The 16792-nt window shown below is 52.2% G+C and overlaps 1 protein-coding gene and 1 long non-coding RNA gene across 8 annotated transcripts in view, besides 5 other annotated features; one reads left to right on the forward strand and one right to left on the reverse strand.

Annotated features, from left to right (window-relative positions):
• Positions 1096-1245: a silencer, noted in NCBI's record as "silent region_16497". NCBI's record gives its function as "represses an Ori minimal core promoter by ATAC-STARR-seq in GM12878 lymphoblastoid cells {active_cell/tissue: GM12878}" and the evidence as "EXISTENCE:reporter gene assay evidence [ECO:0000049][PMID:35858748]".
• The window catches only part of IL17B (interleukin 17B), a 29936-nt gene continuing 17041 nt past the window's right edge, over positions 3898-16792 (reverse strand). For 3 of the 6 annotated variants that reach the window (NM_001317987.2, XM_017009348.2, XM_017009347.2), the window contains 2 exons: positions 6367-6656; positions 3898-4231 (listed from right to left, as the gene is read on the reverse strand). In NM_001317987.2, the coding sequence (NP_001304916.1) occupies positions 4000-4231; positions 6367-6521 (387 nt within the window). In that variant the 5' untranslated portion in view covers positions 6522-6656 and the 3' untranslated portion in view covers positions 3898-3999. Of the gene's footprint in view, positions 4232-6366; positions 6657-8835; positions 8924-9652; positions 10572-10820; positions 11123-16792 lie in introns of those variants that run through there. The other 3 variants (XM_047417104.1, XM_017009346.2, NM_014443.3) reach the window with 3 other exon arrangements.
• Positions 9171-9705: an enhancer, noted in NCBI's record as "H3K4me1 hESC enhancer chr5:148759103-148759637 (GRCh37/hg19 assembly coordinates)". NCBI's record gives its function as "activates a minimal SCP1, AML or CMV promoter by ChIP-STARR-seq in naive H9 embryonic stem cells {active_cell/tissue: H9 hESC(naive)}" and the evidence as "EXISTENCE:reporter gene assay evidence [ECO:0000049][PMID:30033119]".
• Positions 10058-10770: an enhancer, noted in NCBI's record as "H3K4me1 hESC enhancer chr5:148759990-148760702 (GRCh37/hg19 assembly coordinates)". NCBI's record gives its function as "activates a minimal SCP1, AML or CMV promoter by ChIP-STARR-seq in naive H9 embryonic stem cells {active_cell/tissue: H9 hESC(naive)}" and the evidence as "EXISTENCE:reporter gene assay evidence [ECO:0000049][PMID:30033119]".
• LOC101927046 (uncharacterized) lies at positions 11867-13990 on the forward strand. Of its 2 annotated transcripts, none has more exons than XR_245875.4 (2): positions 11867-11983; positions 13822-13990. It is a non-coding gene; the product is annotated as an uncharacterized LOC101927046 (long non-coding RNA). The 2 variants fall into 2 exon arrangements; XR_944402.3 differs by lacking the exon at positions 11867-11983 and adding an exon at positions 11996-12838.
• Positions 12197-12908: an enhancer, noted in NCBI's record as "H3K4me1 hESC enhancer chr5:148762129-148762840 (GRCh37/hg19 assembly coordinates)". NCBI's record gives its function as "activates a minimal SCP1, AML or CMV promoter by ChIP-STARR-seq in primed H9 embryonic stem cells {active_cell/tissue: H9 hESC(primed)}" and the evidence as "EXISTENCE:reporter gene assay evidence [ECO:0000049][PMID:30033119]".
• Positions 14794-15294: an enhancer, noted in NCBI's record as "H3K4me1 hESC enhancer chr5:148764726-148765226 (GRCh37/hg19 assembly coordinates)". NCBI's record gives its function as "activates a minimal SCP1, AML or CMV promoter by ChIP-STARR-seq in primed H9 embryonic stem cells {active_cell/tissue: H9 hESC(primed)}" and the evidence as "EXISTENCE:reporter gene assay evidence [ECO:0000049][PMID:30033119]".

Here is a 16792-nt window from a genome sequence, read left to right on the forward strand (position 1 = left end):
TAGTTATCATGGCTTTAAAGTCCAGGCATAGAGCACTGTGCAGTCTTACAGTTCCATGATTTCTCTCATAGTCAAAGATGGCTGCCAACAGCTCCCAGGAAGAGAAGGTCTTCTCTCATAAGCACTGAACCAAATTTTGGACTCTGGGCCAGTTGGACCACCCCTGAACCAATTCCTGTGGTCAAGGGAATGCCACATGCTGATTGGCTTGGGATTCAGATACGAGACTAGTAACCATGATGCAGGCAGGGAGGGTGTGAGATTAAGCTGATTGGCTTAAAGCAGTCAGGTCCTATCCCTGGAGCAGAAGTGGCCTCATCCAGACTTCAAGGTCAAAGGGGGAAAGGGTATTGGAGAGAGAGCCACAATGTCAGCCACATGCAAATGGGGCTCTCAAGTCCAGTGAACTCGAAGTGTGTAATGGCATCTTTTCATGGTCTGTTTGAAATGAAGATGGCATGCGCTGTCATGGTGTAATTAATAATTGGTATTGGCCCAGCACTGGACAATACAAAACTTATCCCTGATAACCACCCCTCCCTTGCATCCCTACAGAGAATTTGTGCACAGAAGACACAAACCAAGGCAGTTACATTTGATCCTCAGTCCTTGTCTGGGCTTTGGCTCCATGCCCAAGCATGACTGCATTGGAACTGGCTATGTCCTTCAGAAACCTTCTTTACCTGGGTAGGCCCAAACAGCTCAGAACTAAAGCCAGCCAAAATGCCCACAATCCCTGCCTCCCCAAGCCCAAACCTGATTCCTTGGAGGCAGGGAGGAAAGGACAGATTCCAGAAATAAGAACCAACAGGACGCCTTTGCCCCAGGGCTCACCCCAACCTTCTCAGGCCTGGACAGAAGCCCCCAGCAGTTCACGGAGCCCTGGAAGAAGAGAGCATTTGCAAAGACAGCCAAACAAAACAGGTAAAGGGCCACACATCCTCAGTCCTGGATGCAGTGTAGTAGACGTTTAATACCCTTCATGGGAACTCTGCCTCCTGGAGCAGGTGACCCAAGCAAAATTTCAGGACTTTGGGGGATAAGGGGCAGCTGTAGAGGGTAGAATGGAGGTGGGTGATTGGCAGTGGGGGACCCGGGAGGTTGATAAGGAATTCTTTGTTCTGACCCACCTATGAAGGCATAATAGAGGGAGGCAGGAGGCAGATCTTGGGCTCCCCCTAGAGGCGTCTGTGCACTCATTCACCAAACACGGCGCCCCTATCCGCTCTGGACACTGCCAGGTGCTGGAGGTGCAGTGCTGAGCAAGGGATGAGGCCCCTGTCCCACGGAGTGCAAGCTTCTCGCTAGAGGAGGCAAACATGAAACACACTTAGACTCAGACCAAAGGAAGTTCCAGGGTGCTGTGTAGAGCCAGCTCTCCAAAGGACCTGAGCTCCCTGCTGCTGCCTTTAAACTGGGAGCCTGGGAAGAGCCAGCTGGGACTCGGAGCTACGCCAGTGGTCAGCCCAGCCACCAAGGCCAAGCTTCTAAGTCACAGAATGGTAAGCCTGGAAAAGACCCTAGAGGCCCCCAAATCCCATTTGTTCGTTTCACGGATGAGGAATCTAAAGCCCAAAAAGAGGAGAAGGCATCATCCGTATGAGACTAGCTGGTGTTTATGGAGCATCTGGGGGCTCCTGATGCTTGGGTAGAAGTAAGACACCCCCCTCCTACCACAATGAGGGGTTTCCCCACCAGCCCCTATGCCCCAGAGCACCTAGGGTCTCCCAGGACTACAAGCAACCCTCTTGCAGCTCAATTCTTCCCACACCCTCACCCCACAGAAAAGGCTTGGAAGCTGTGGGCCCTTCATGTGGGGCTGAAGTCTTAAGACCTGGAGAGCAGCCCCAAGGGTGGAGAAGCGGCTGCTGAAGGGATCAGCATGCGCTGGCACAGGAAGTCTGTTTTCCATGTGTCTGGAACCCAGCCGAAGCTTCCTGGGGTAATTTTAACCAGTATCCACTCTAGAACAATACCAAAAAAGGTAAGTTACTTACCATCCCAGGCAGGCACATACCTAATCACTGGCCTTTCATGAATTAGACCCTTAAGACATTCAGAGCTAAAGCTGCTTTAAGCACTAAAGTCAGAGCAGCCAAGCCACATATTCCTGTCCTGGGCGGTTGGCCCTTTTATTAAAGTTAACTCTAAAGTGCTAGCTATTCTTACCCTCAGAATATAGTCTTAGCCCCTCAGCTGTCTTGTGGGAGGGAAGGTATTTTTAGACCCTAGAACAGCTGATTTGGGATTTGCTGCAGGGGTTAGAGGGCCCAGGGGGAGGATTGAATTGCTAGGGGACAAAATGGGAAGTGGGGAGTTGCATCCAGGGGACTCTTGCATCAAGAGTCAGCATGGGCTTTAGGATATATTAGTCCACACTGCTGTTTTTGGCTTTTTTTTTTTTTTTTTTTTTTTGACAGTCTCACTCTGTCACCCAGGGTGGAGTGCAGTGGCACAGTCATGGCTAACTGCAGCCTTAACCTCCCTAGGCTCAAGTGATCCTTCCACCTCAGCCTCTCTAACACCTGGGATTACAGGCGCATGCCACCATGCTGGGCTATTTTTTGTATTTTGTTTGTAGAGATGAGGTTTTGCCATGTTTCTCAGCCTGGTCTCAAATTCCTGAGGCTCAAGAAATCCGCCTGCCTCAGCTTCCCGAAGTGCTGGTGTTATAGGAGTAAGCCAACACACTGCCATTTTTGATCAACAAAGTATCTTAATATAAGCCAGTGGTTCTCAAAGTGCAGAGCCCAGACCAGCAGCACCAGCATCACCTGGGAACAACTGTTTATATATTAGAAATGCAAGAAAAACACTGCAAAAAAATGCAAAGTATCAGCCTCCACCTGAATCAGAACCTCTAGATGTGGGGCCCCGCAAGCTGTTTTAACAATCCCTCCAGGAGATTCTGATGCTCACTAAAGTTTGAGAATCACTGATATCAGCAAACCATCTAATAAGATCCCCTTTTGGACAGGGCTGGAAGAAAGAATGATCTACATTGACACTTCTCAACTTACGAGTGTCTGTTCAAAACCAGGAATCCTCAGCTCAGAAAAAGTGCATACATAAAAATTTCAGGGATGCACTATCTCTGATGCACCTGCTCTTTGGCAACCTGGAGGCCTTTCTTTGGGTCTAAGTCTGATCTGCAGAGAATCTCAGAGCTGAAAAAGACTTTTTAGATCATCTACTCCAACCAGAGCAGGGGTCTGCTCCATAATACCTTTGAGAAGCCTGGCTTTAAGTTAACACTTTCAGAGATGGGGAGCTCCCCGCCTCAAAAGAGCTTGTTTCCAGTGACCCTTAAGTGGGTAGAGTTAACTCTTGTTAACTCCTATATTGGTTTATAGCAACCAAGCTACATTAACATGGCTGAAATATAGACTTATAAACCCAGATTAAAGGAAACACATGGGCCGGGTGTGGTGGCTCACACCTGTAATCCCAACACTTTGGGAGGCCGAGGTGGGCAGAAGTCTGATCTGCAGAGAGGCCCAGGAGTTGAAGATCAGCCTGGGCAACATGGTGAAACCCCATATCTACAAAAAATACAAAAATTAGCTTGGTGTAGTGGCACACACCTGTAATCCCAGCTACTTGAGTGGCTAAGGTGCGAGTATCACTTGAGCCTGGGGAGGCTGATGCTGCAGTAAGCTGTGACTGGGCCACTTCCACCCTGGGCGACAGAGTGAGACCCTGTCTCAAATAAAGGAAACACATGATGGCCCTAGGTGGTAGAGGTGAACACATTATTTTCTAATAGGCCACCTCAGTATTGGAGAACTCAGAGTGATGAAAAATCCTCCTTTATATTAATCTGAAATCTACCTCCCAGGAACCTCCTACCCTGACCCTGGTTTTGACTTCGAAGCCACAAAAAGCAAACCCAAAGTCTTGCTTTCAAAAGTCAGTGTTTACTTTTCATAGGCCTTTCTTGGCACAAAGGTGCAAGGAGGATGGTCTCGGGCTGCTGGCCTGGCTTCTGGGCCAGGTGATTCAGAAGATGCAGGTGCAGCCCACAGCGATGGTCTCCATGACTGCGCGCTGGCGGCAAGGCCCTGTGCGGGGCGGTGGCGGGCAGAGGCGGCGGCGCACAGGAACCTGGCTGAACACCGGCACGCTCACCATGCTGCGGTCCTCCTGCATGGTGAAGGGGTTCACACAGCCCAGACACAGGCACCGTGCCTCCGGCAGGTCCACGGGGATACGGCTGGGGTCGTGGTTGATGCTGCAGGGAGCAGAAGAAAGAGCAGAGCGGAAGGTGATCAGGAAAGGGCCAGTCAGCACCCATACTCCACACCCCTGCCTTTCCTAATCAGAGTTTTAATTTCCACAGCAAGACTGTGTTGGGCTGGAGGAAAGGCAGTAATCAACTCCATGTTCCACGTGAGGAAACTGAAGATCATGGAAGGCAAGTCGAGAGCCCCAAGGTTATCCAGCTTCAAGGTCACCAGTCACCCAGCTTCCTTCTTTCGTGCAGCCAGATGCCCATCCCAGTACTAGGTTGCGCTGTGGGGATTGTGGAGTAGCCCTCTACCACCTAGGGCCCTCATGTGTTTCCTTTATTTGAGACAGGGTCTCACTCTGTCACCCAGGGTGGAAGTGGCCCAGTCACAGCTTACTGCAGCATCAGCCTCCCCAGGCTCAAGTGATTAAGGCCTCCCTCTGCCTGCCCCACCCCCACTGTGTTTATATTGTTGGGAAACTTAATCCACGGAAATAAAGTGTGGATTATTTTTATTGATGCCTAATTTCCACTGGCAAAGAAGTCAGGAGGTCTGGGTTCTATTCTGACTTAATCTCCATTCATTCAACACTTACATGCTCACCACATGAGCAGTTCTGTCCTAGATTTTAGGTATTCATTGATGAACAAAGCAGACAAGTTCCCTCCTGGTGCTCTCAGGGAGCCTTGCATACAGGGACTTGCTTTGTGACCTCTCCTTTTCTGCACCTCGGTTTCCCCATCTGCTAAATACGGGACAAGGAAGTGGGTGAACTGGACCTGTGGACATGTAGAATTAGCATCACCTTATGCTTGGGAGCTTGCTAGAAATGCAGAACCTCCTAAATCTGAAGCTGCATTTTTATCAGATCCCTGAGTGATTCATTGGCACAATCAGATGTGAAAAGCTCCGTTCTGGAGGATCTTTACCGACCCTTCCAATGGTCACATTCTGGAGCTGCACTGTCCAATGCAGTAGCCACTAGCTTCATGTGTCAAATTAATCGGGCTGAGCATGGTGGCTTACGCCTGTAATCTCAGCACTTTGCGAGGCCAAGGCAGGTGGATTGCTTGAGCTTAGGAGTGTGAGACCAGCCTGGGCAACATAGTGAGATCCTGTCTCTACAAAAAATAAAAAAAAAATCAGCCAGGTATGCCTGTGGTCCCAGCTACTGGGAGGCTGAGGTGGAAAGATTGCTTGAGCCCAGGAGGCAGAGGCTGCAGTGAGCCGAGACCATGCCACTGTACTCCAGCCTGGGTAACAGAGTGAGACCCTGTCTCAAACAAAAAATAAAAAAATTAATCAAAGTTAATCCCTCAGTCACAGTAGCCACATGTCAAGTGCTCAGTAGCTGCATGAGGCTAGTGGCTACCATACTGGACTTTACATCATCACAGAAAGTTCTGGTGAACAGTGCTATTCTAGAGTCTCAGGGTATATGTCATGTGGCTGAAAAATCTCTGGCCTGGGTTTGTGAGTGAGGACCTCAGGGTCAGCCCTTTCCTTCATCTTTGGTCCTTACTATGGGTCAGGCACTGAGCAAGGAAGCGGAGCTACAACCAAGAGAGGACGCTGCTGCCATCGTTATCCAGGGCAATGGGTCTTGATTCCCAAATCGCAGCCTGCTGTGCGCCCTGATCACGTGGAGCTATAAGAAATAGCACTTCCTGGGCCTCACCGCTGGAGGTTTGGATTGGGCATGGGAATCCCTAGGTGATTCTGATGCCGGCACTGGGAAGGCCCAGGTCCAGCATAAGAGACAGACTGGAACACCGCATGGAAGCGCCACACCTGAGAAGGGCGTCCGAGGCCCACAGAGCAGAGGAAGTGACATCTGGGGAAAGCCTTGCAGGCACTTCCATGGAGACTTGAAGAACAATGAGGGCAGTGCTCTGCATGGATATCTCACTTAACAAGACTCTGAGGTACTACTGTTGCCTCCATTTACATTGAGGAAACTGAGGCCCAGAAAGGCTAATCCATTTGCCCAAAGCCTCACAGGCAAGTAAGAGGCAGAGCTAGGGTTCGAACCCAAGCACCCAGACCTCTGAATCTGAGATCTTAACCATTACAATGACTGGGGCACAGGAAAGGTCCCCACCCCCCAAAGACAGCTTGCCACCACTGCCCAGCCTACCTGTAGCCCCAGGGAGACAGGCTCCTCTTGTTGGACATCCACAGCTGCAAGTTGACCTCACACTTTCTCTGGGCCAGCTCTGAGCTGTTCCTCAGCTGGGCCACCATCTCCTCGATGTTCCTCTCATACTCCTCCATGCGGGCATACGGTTTCATCCGTGACACCAGGTCCAGTGGCACCTGGTGAGGGCCAGGGGCCAGGGGCCCAGGCCGCCCTTGCCCCTTCCTCTTGCTTTTGGGGCTCCTGGGCTGGCCCAGCCCCAGGAAGATGGAAATGGTAAGAAGAAACAGCTGGGGAGGAAAGCCACAGGTCAAAGGTGGGAGAGCCAAGTCTCTATCTGGGCCAAGACTTGGGGTCCATGGTCCTTTCCCATTGCTCTTAGGGGTCTCCCAGGCTCAGGTCTGACTCTGCCTACCATCCCCCAGCTCTCCCTCCTCAGATTACCCCCTGTTTCCTCTCTCTTGTGTGTTCCAGCCTCTGGTCTTCTCTCAGTCTTACACTCAGCATGCTCCTTCCTGCCACAGGGACTTTGCACAGCCTCTGCCTGCAGCATTCTGCCTCTTCACCTCCTGGACACCTTCCCACCCCTCGTGTCAGCTTTAGCATCGCTTTCTTAGGGATGCCTCTGGACTTTCTTGGGCTCTCATAACCCACACACCTCTTGCATGACTTCAATCTTAAAGTTTGTGTATACAATTCTTTTATGTGTCTGCCCCCAACTCAGCATGGACTCCGTGGGGGCACGTGTCAGTTTCCACACACTGTCATATCTCCCGTGTCTGCGTGATGCATTCAGTGAACACTCACTGAGTAAATGAATGGCTGTCCCCATCGCTGCCCTTCTGTCATTTATGTCTAAGAAGGAAGACAGTGAACAAGAAGACAAACACCCAAGTCTCCCTAGCGACAAGTCCAGGATGGGCCCATTCAGGGTGTGGCTGGAGAAGAGTGGGGCCTCCTGCTTAGCTGTGCTGGGACAATGGCCTGGGAAACTTTTCTGGGGAAGGGACATGTCAGGTGAGGCATGGCAGGCATGGGCTGAGGGAGTTGAAGTCTTGCAGGTGTGGGAGGGGTGGGTTGGGGGAAGATGAGAGAGGAGGTTTGAACTGGTTAAGAACTTTGCTGTGGCCGGGCGTGGTGGCTCACACCTGTAATGCCAGCACTTTGGGAGGCCGAGGCGGGCAGATCACAAAGTCAGGAGATCGAGACCATCCTGGCTAACACTGTGAAACCCCGTCTCTACTAAAAATACAAAAAAATTAGCCGGGTGTGGTGGCGGGTGCCTGTAGTCCCAGCTACTTGGGAGGCTGAGGCAGGAGAATGGCCTGAACCCGGGAGGCGGAGCTTGCAGTGAGCCGAGATCACACCACTGCACTCCAGCCTGGGCGACAGAGCGAGACTCCTCTCAAAAAAAAGAAAAAAGAACTTTGCTGAATCGAATGGAATGTTGATTAAGAGTGGGTGGGAGGAAGAGGGGATGAGATGAAGCTGGGGAGATGGGCAAGTTATGGGCTAAGGATGTCCTGTCCGCCTGCACTGCCCTTCTCCCCTGAGCCTTCCCTCTTCCAGCCATCCCCCAAGCCCTCCTCACACACACACACCCTCACCCATTGCCATCCACTTCTCCCTCCCAGCACCAGAGTATCAGGAAAGCCTTTGGCTCACAAGGAAGAGGACTCAGGCCCGGCAGAAGCCAGACTCCCCAGGAATCCAGAGAGAAGGGACAGTGCCTGCGTGTGAGGCAGAGCTCCCAGGATGGAGGCACCTCTGACTCCTCTTAAATTGAGATAGGCTCCATATGTTCCCTGTATGCCTCACCTCACAGCCCCACAGCCCCATGGCCCATGCCTGCTTTATCCAGGCTACCCAGCAAGTCTTGACCCTAGGAAACAAGTTTCAGCAGAGCCCCTCTTGGCAGAGGTATTTGCTGGCACAAAATCTGCAACAGAGATTCAAGTGCTAAATTCTTCCTTTTTGGTCCTAGATTCTAGTGCAGAAAAAATGTCTCCCTAACAATAGGCTCTCTCTTTAGAGTTTCTCACAGGGCATTCTTAAACTCTGGCTCTCCACTCGGAGAAACGTAGAATAGAATCAAAGTCCCCCTCCCTCACTCTCCAGATGGGACACTGAGAAACAGAAGGACTTGCCCAAGGTCACACAGCCAGGACCTCAGAAGCCGGGTCTCTTTGGAAAAACCCCGATAACTGAGTTTGCCGGGATCTCCCCAGACGCCTCTGGTCTGAAAAGGCTTCAGTGTGCCCCGGCTGAGCCCCGTTCAGGAGCCTGCACTGCTGGCCATGGCTACAGTGACCAGTCTCTGTTTCTTTCTAGTCCTGGGGGAGAAGACAGAGAAGTTGCCTCTGCAGATTCTAAACCAAACAGAGGCAGCCATTAATAAATAGGAAAGAAAAACTGACATATTTGGGCTCTTAAAAAGGGGTGGGGGTGCGGCAGGGAAGCGCCACGTACCAGGTTGTGAGGCCAGTCCATTCCGCCAAGCTGCAAGGTCAGCCTGCAGCTGCTGCCCGCCTGGAACCCCAGATGCCGCCGAGAGAATGGCAGCAACAGGATGGAGCGAAGCAATTATAGCTCAACTGGGGGCTGCTGGGGGAGTGAGTGGGTGGGCTCGTCATCAGCTGGGAGCCTTGGGCCCCCAGCTGGCTGAGCCTAGCGCAGTGGCAGGCGGTGAGGGGCGTGGGGGCAGGCCAGGAGCCGAGCTGAGGTGCCCAGGGGCTGTTGACCGAGGGACAATGCCCTGTGTGTCTGGTGGGGCTCTGGCCGGTGGCACCTCCGCCTGTGGCCTGCGGCCGGCCGCCCAGCCAGCACCCACAGGGCCAGCTAAGACAATCAGCTTCGTTTGCTTAGGGGATGGCAAGGGGTTGAGGGTGGAGGAGGGATGGGCCGTTGGTTGGTCAGGAGAGCAAATGTTCTCAAATTGTGCTGGCCAGGAGTGGGACACAGGCCCCATCTCCCAGGGAAACAGCCTCAGGCACTCCAGCCTCTGCCGGCCTCAGGTGAGTTCAGCAGCCCTAGGAGACCAAAGCCCCACCCCTCTAGATCACAGTCAAGGAAACTGAGGCTGGAGCCAGAAAGGGACTTGTCACTATTAACAGTGAGTTAGAGGTGTCAGAGCTGCTATTCTCACCCTGTCCCCATCCAGGGCTCTATCCACCACCCCATGTTGTTTTTCTTGGGAGACTTTCCGCACAATTTCAGCCTGCTGTGAACATATTTCTGAAGCTGTACGCCCTCACTCTGGCCAAGTTTCAGATCCATGAGGACTTACGGCTGATTGTCCTGGCCTTCCTGACACAGCACTCTCCCTCCTGGGGTGGTCTCCGCTCTCAGAGACTGTGTGGCTGCATGTGAGCTTTACTGTCAGCCTCAGTTCCCTCCTCCATAAAATGGTGGGTGTATCCAGAAGTAGACGGTGGCCTGGCCCATTCCCTCCTGAAATCTTTCTGAGCCTCAGTTCCCACATCTCTAGAATGGGAAGAATCATGGCACCCTCTTAAAACTGCTATAAGGAATAAAGGAAATCACCTATGTTAAATAGCTGGCAACAGTACCTGGCACATAGTAAGTGCTCAATAAACACTTAGCTATTTATTATAGAGATTATTATAAAATAATTGTATAATTATTATAAACATTAGTTGTTCTAATTAGCATTAGAGGTAGCATGGTTCTCATTTCTCTACTGACTCTCCCTTCAACCCCCTCAGGCCCACCCTCCTGGCTGCTGAGAGAGGTCTAGGCCTCCAAGATTCAGGCCACAAGTTTGTGAGGTCGGATGACCTCAGGGTCCAAAGGTCCTGGAATCACATGCTCAACTGACCACCTCCTCTGGCCAATGTCTCTCACCTCAGGTGAACAGCCCAGCCCAATGTAAGCGGGCACATCCACCCAGGGAGGCAGGAATGGCGGGAGGGAATGTGAGGAGGACAGAGGAGGGGCATTGTGAACAGATACTGAGGACGGCCCTGTCGTGCTGAGGGCCGGTCTTGGCCATTTACAGGAATCGTCCGAGGGGAAGAAGGCAGGGTGAGAGGCGCTCCTGAATGTCACAAGATTAATCTGTCCGGGGCAGGCTTCCACAGCATAACTGAGATGCTGGCTGGGGCTCGAGCATGAGAGATGCCACCATATTTGGTCAAATACTAGACAGGGCTCTATTCTACCGTTGGAAACTCCAGAGGGAGGGGTACTCTGAAAATACCTCCTCAGGCAACAAGGGCCCCGCCCCCACCGCAGGCTGTCCCAGCCCCAGCCCCACTGGCCGGGCGGCCTGGCTGTGTTCTGTGCTGGCTCTCTGCACACACTCTGCTGCTGCTAGCAGTGGGGTCCCACAGACATGCAACTGGGGTGACCCTCCCATATCCACAGAACAGTGGCAAACTGAAAGATGGATGCTGGGGTATGGGGGACCCCTGAAACCAACACATTCTCCTTACCTGCTGGAAATACGCACCCCTCACTTCTGCCTCCCCAAGCCAGGACTGACTTGTCAGCTTCCCCTGCTCCAGCTGCAGTGCTTGCTACTTTAGATTTCAGGGTCCCAGCCCCAGAGATGCTGAAGTAGCAGCGCAAAAATCTGCATCTTAGCACGAGGCCAGTTTGGGAGCTACACGGGTCCTCACCCATCATCTGGCCCCCTCCTCCCACCCATTTTACTACAAGGAGACTTGGATAAGGGAGGGTCCTACCCCAGCTCACACAGTGCGTTTGTGCCAGAGCTGGGAGCAGAACTCCGTCTCCTAAGTCATTCATTGTTCTTCCCTCAGACTTTATACAAACAGCTCTGGGCCAGGCTGGGCCTCCTTGCTGGTCTGGTGGAGACCAAAGAGGCAGGCCAGTCCTTGTGGGGGCCCCAGATCCTTCACAGTGGGGAGGGGAGCTTTGGGGTCCCCTGGCAGGTGCTGTGAGGAGTCAGGCATGGGCCCAGCAACAGTCATTGGGTTTCCCATTCCTGGACCATCTCAGACCAGGAGGGAGACCCCTTCTTCCAGTCTTGGTTTCTAGAAACCCCTGGAGGGTCATCTGTCCTTTTTGATGTCCTGAGTGTGAACCCAGGCAGGCCTGTGGGACCCAGCCCCAGGACTCAGTGCCAGGCCTGAGAGGGAGGTGCAGGAACTGGGCTTCCAGGGCTCCCACCCCACGAGTGAGGCTGGGGTCCTTGGGTCTTAACACGCAGAGGGTGGTCAGCATGCGTGAATGAAGGACTGGGCAGATGAGCTACAGGGGAAGGGGCAGTGGGTGGCCGCGGTCTCGCTCAGAGCCCTCTGCAGCAGGCCCCGCCAGGAGCAGTGCTGCACTCACCAGCAGATGGCGCCACTAGAAAGCCAGCCAACCCTGAAAAATGTACTGACCCTGAGGGAACTTGCACTCTGCCACCTCTTTCTCCAAGAGCGGCCCGGGACTGAGAATGAGGGGATGGGGCGAGTGGGTGGGGCCCTGCGCCTGTGCCTGGCTTCCAGAGTGACCCTATTGTTGATGAGGACCAGAGCCTAGGAGACATCAGAGCCGGCCAGGAATGACACAGGCGGTGTCGGGGTCACCGATTCCAGGTGTCGGGGTCACCGATTCCAGGGGTCGGGTGAGGGCTTCTGTCTGCTGAGTGAGTGATTGCCTTTACTTTGAGCACCTGCTGTGTGCCAGGCCTCAGGCATTTGGCACCTGGACACCTTAATTCACAGAAAATAACAGTAACAATAATAGCTGCTACTTAATATCCACTTACTGACTGCCAGGCCATAAGCTAAATGCTTCATGAAATCCTCCAAATAACACTGGGTGAGGTCCTAGTTTTATTCTGAATTACAGATGGGGAAACTGAGGCTCAGCGTGGTTAACCACTTGCCCAAAGTCACAGAAGATTCACAGCAAGTTTGTCTGACTCCTGCACACACTGCTCCCTGCGGTGGAGTAAGGAGAGGGGCGGCAGCCAGGGGTGGAGGGGGAATGTCCAGTTGGTCAGCTGGTCATTGAGCACGGTCTGTGATGGCCTCAGCCTTGACCCATGGCCTCAAACAACCTGAACCCGGTAGGTTCGGGTGCTCACTAAACCCACGCCCAAGCCCAAGTCATCAAGGGGATCCGAGAGCTCCCAGGGTGCTCGTGGGGCACCCAACAGCATTCCTGGTATGTGAACTAAAATATTGATACATTGAATCAAACTGACTATAATACAGGGAGGCCATGCTGGGACAGAGGAGGAGGCCAGAGCAGAGGGACCTGGAGAAGGAAGTGCAGCCGGGAGGGCAGAGGTCAGCCTCCACAGATGGGCTGGCCTGAGTTTCAGCCCTGCCCCTGCCCCTTCACTGCTGTGTCATCTTGGGAATGTTAATTGACTTCTCTGAGCCTTAGTTTCTTCTGCAAAGTGAAGATAATAATAACTTGGCTCTCAGTGGATTGTTGTGAGGATCAAATGAGATAATGCACGTTAAAGCGCTTAGCACAGTCCCTGGCAAAAGTAAGTACCCCATTAATGGTAGCTGCAACTGTCATTCCTACAGTTAAAATGAGTTTTGAGTTGGGCCTTCAAGAATGCTTCTAGTACGTTCCTGGGTAGGAAGGGCATTACGAAGTGGGGACAAGGCTAGAACCAGCAGAAGAATGCAAAGGTGCCTATTTCCAGCGGGCCCACCCTAGAGCGTTGGCAAGGCCAGGGGGACCTGAAGGATTTGGTCTAAGAACTTGCCCAAGTGGACCCAGTAAGGTCAGGGAAGGCGGGAAGAGGCTAGTCGGCGCCTTTGCTGGCTGCGACCAGGAGGGTGCAGCCCCCTAGGGAGGTCCTGGCTCTCCTGCCATGCTGCCCTCCCCTCCCTCCCTGGTAGGAGTCCTTCTCCCAGGCCCATATTTGCACAAATGCTTGCCTCGCTGCTCACTCCAGAGCCCCAGCCAAGAGGTGCTATTTTAAGATCCCTGGACGGGAACATTGTTGGTGGGAACAGCCCCAGCCAGCAAGCTCCCAGTTCTCAAAAAAGGGAAAGGCCTGGGTGAATGGGCGGCCTCTGGGGTGTGCAGAGGGGCTGCCACGTCGACATGACCCTCTGCCCAGGCCAGGTGCCAGCGTCTCCTCCCCACAGGGGGAAGTCAAAGAAATGTGAGTTGGGGTAGGACTCCAAGAGGTGGTCTTGTTCACTGGAGACTGGGTCGCCTAGGCCTCTCTTCTGCAGAGCATCCAGACTTGAAAACACCAAGTTTGTGTTTCTGGGTTGCAAATTGACTCTACACTGTACCAAGTCTCTTGTTAGCACTCACCACCCACAGGCCATCAGAGGTAGGGGATACCTCATCCAGCCCTTAGCAAAGCGGGAACGCTTTCTAAGTGCCTTTGCTGGGTATCATCTCTCTAGGAATATCATTTCTCTCTGAGGATGCACAGTCCATTTTTTAAAACTCTGGTTGTTGAAAATAATTATAATTATAAAAGCTTTCTTTTTTATTTTGCAGAAGCCCTCCTCCTGTGGGGAAAGCACGGCAGACTTCAGGCAATGGTGGTTGGACATTTGCCCTGCCCCTTATTATATGGTCATGTCCACCCCCCTCACTTCAGTGGGCCTCCGTTTCCTCACGGGGTTGTTAAAATGCATTAATCATTAAAATTATTGTTTGCCTGGCACATAATGGTACTTAATATTTGGCAAGTTCGGGCTGATATTTTGTAATTTGGTTTGGTTTTATATGTGCCTGATTTTGATGTATAGTGTGTTTGTGGGTGTATGTGCTATTTTTGCTTTTTGATTATGAAGAGCCAGTATAGATTAATATTTAAAGCACAGACGATGAACCAGAGTGCTCTGAACCTCATCCCTGCTATGTAGCAGCTAAGTCACCTTGGGCAAGTGACCTAACCTCCCTGAGCCTATGTCCTTGAAAGAGAGGTGGGGGGTTAACAAGATTATATGTGGCAAGTGCCTGGCACAGGGAATGGCCCTGCTATTATTTTGTTGTATGCATTGTCCTTAGTTCTTCCCAATCAGGTGGCACAGAGCAATTCTAGTCAGCTCAATTCTAGCACTTTCTAACTGCCAGAGAGTCCCAGAAATAAAATGGACTGCCCTGGAAAAGAGTGATCTCTCTATCAGCAGAGAGCAGAACACTAGCCAGGAGATTCTAGAAGAGGAAGGAGTGGCCCAGGTGTGTGTTGTGGGGTGGAGGGGTTGTTGAGCTTTTTTTTTTTTTTTTTGAGATGGAGTCTCGCTCTGTAGCCCAGGCTGGAGTGCAGTGGCATGATCTCAGCTCACTGCAGCCTCCGCCTCCCAGGTCCCTGTTAAGCAATTCTCCTGCCTTAACCTCCCAAGTAGCTAGGATTACAGGCATGCGCCACCATGCCCAGCTAATTTTTGTATTTTTATTAGAAACAGGGTTTCACCATGTTGGACAGGCTGGTCTTAAATTCCTGACCTAGAGTTCGACACCAGCCTGACCAACATGGAGAAACTCCGTCTCTACTAAAAATACAAAATTAGCCGGACGTGGTGGCGCATGCCTGTAATCCCAGCTACTCAGGAGGCTGAGGCAGGAGAATCGCTTGAACCTGGGAGGCAGAGGTTGCAGTGAGCCAAGATCGTGCCATTGCACTCTAGCCTGGGCAACAAGAATGAAACTCCATCTCAGAAAAAACAAAAAAAAATCCTGACCTCATGATCCGCCTCAGCCTCCCAAAGTGCTGGCATTACAGGCGTGAGCCACCGTACGCGGCCAGTTTTTGAGCTTTTAAAGTTCCCTTCTAGCCTTGAGAGGTCCAGATCTGATGTCCAAGGCCTCAGGCCCCCATGTGGGGCTGTCAGGCCTGCTGTAACTCACCCAGACCTGGGACAGGAAGGAGTGCGAGAGAGCCTGTGGGGGACGTGGAATAAACAGCCTGTCTCCAGGGCAGACAGAGGCGCCAGGCCCCCTGCCCACTGGAGTGTCCTCCCCTCAGTCCCGGGGGATGTTTATCCTCTGCTCAGAGTTTACAGGACGTCTGGATTCACAAGATCTGGAATTCTGACTTTTCCCCCAAAGCTGTCAGCGTCTCCTCTGGCTGGGTGGGTCTGGGTCTGTTTTGGGTGGAAGGCCCCAACCCTGCCCTCAGCAGAAGCAGGAAACGGGTACAGAACAAAAAAAGTCCTCTTCAGCCCCCCAGAGCCGCTCCTGGCAGAGGAAGAGGCCACATCTGTGGGGACGTGAGAAGAAAACGTCAACATCTCCCAGCAGCTGCGTAGGGAGAGGAGTCCTGGGGGCTCATGGGTGGCAGGGGCTCATGGGTGGGGCAGAAAGGACTTCTTTTGCAGGTTGGGTTCAAAGGCCTGCACCCCGAACATTAAGCTACAAACCGATGGTACTTATCAAAGTCTGCCTTGCATATTGGCCTCTGTTGTTGGGTCAGAGAGTGCTGTTTTTATTGTGGTTGTTTTGGTGTATTGTGTGAGTGCAAATTTGTGGGTGGTGTCTTGTATGTGTGTGTTTTGTTATTGTTTTAAGAGCCATCAGGTAGGAGCTGTTCACAGACAGCAAGCATGTCTTACTCACAGATGCGGCTCTCAGCACCTGGCTCAGGGAGCTTGGGGCTGGCTTGCGATTAGGGCAGGATTAGCAGAGGAACGTCCTGAGAGCTGTGCACAACACAACACTTAGAGCACAGGCAGCAACTCTGACACACATCACATCACCCTTGATGGCCGTAGCCAAGGCCTCTATCCTCATCCTCCTGACCCCTAGAAAACTCACAGGCGTGAATCTCCCCCTGGACTCCCTGCAGGAGCTTATCTCTGTGGCCTGAACTGTTAGGAGGCAATGTTGACAAGCTGCTTCTGGTGGAGGTTTAAATATCTTGCCTAGGATGTTCTATAAGTTTCTAGGAGCTGTGACCTTCAAGGAATTAGCCTATGGACGATGAAGGACCTTTGAGAGTTATTGAGGAGGGTTCATTCCAATTCATTTCACAAATATATATTGAACACCTACTATGTGCCAGGCACTGGGGATATAGTGGTGAACAACTAAAATAGTTCTTGTGTCACCAGGCTGGAGTGCACGGTGGTGCAATCTTGGCTCACTGCAACCTCTGCCTCCCGGGTTCAAGCGATTCTCATGCCTCAGCCTCCCAAGTAGCTGAGGTTACAGGCATGCACCACTATGCCTGGCTAATTTTTGAATTTTTAGTACAGATAGGGTTTCATCATGTTGGCCAGGCTGGTCTTGAACTCCTGAACTCAAGTGATCTACCCGCCTCAGCGTCCCAAAGTGCTGGGATTACAGACATGAGCCACTGTGCGTGGCCTATTCCTGAGCTTATGTTCTAATGCAGGATGAGGAATCTAACAGTATCGATATTTTAGGACCAGCCCACAGCTCAGGGGCTCTTGCTGGGCCCCTCTCCTCTCAGTCCTGTGCACCTCCTGCATGCATGGGAACTGCTGGATCTTCTGGGAAGCCC

This window comes from Homo sapiens, chromosome 5 (assembly GCF_000001405.40).
Source record: "Homo sapiens chromosome 5, GRCh38.p14 Primary Assembly".
Classification (NCBI taxonomy): Eukaryota; Metazoa; Chordata; class Mammalia; order Primates; family Hominidae; genus Homo; species Homo sapiens.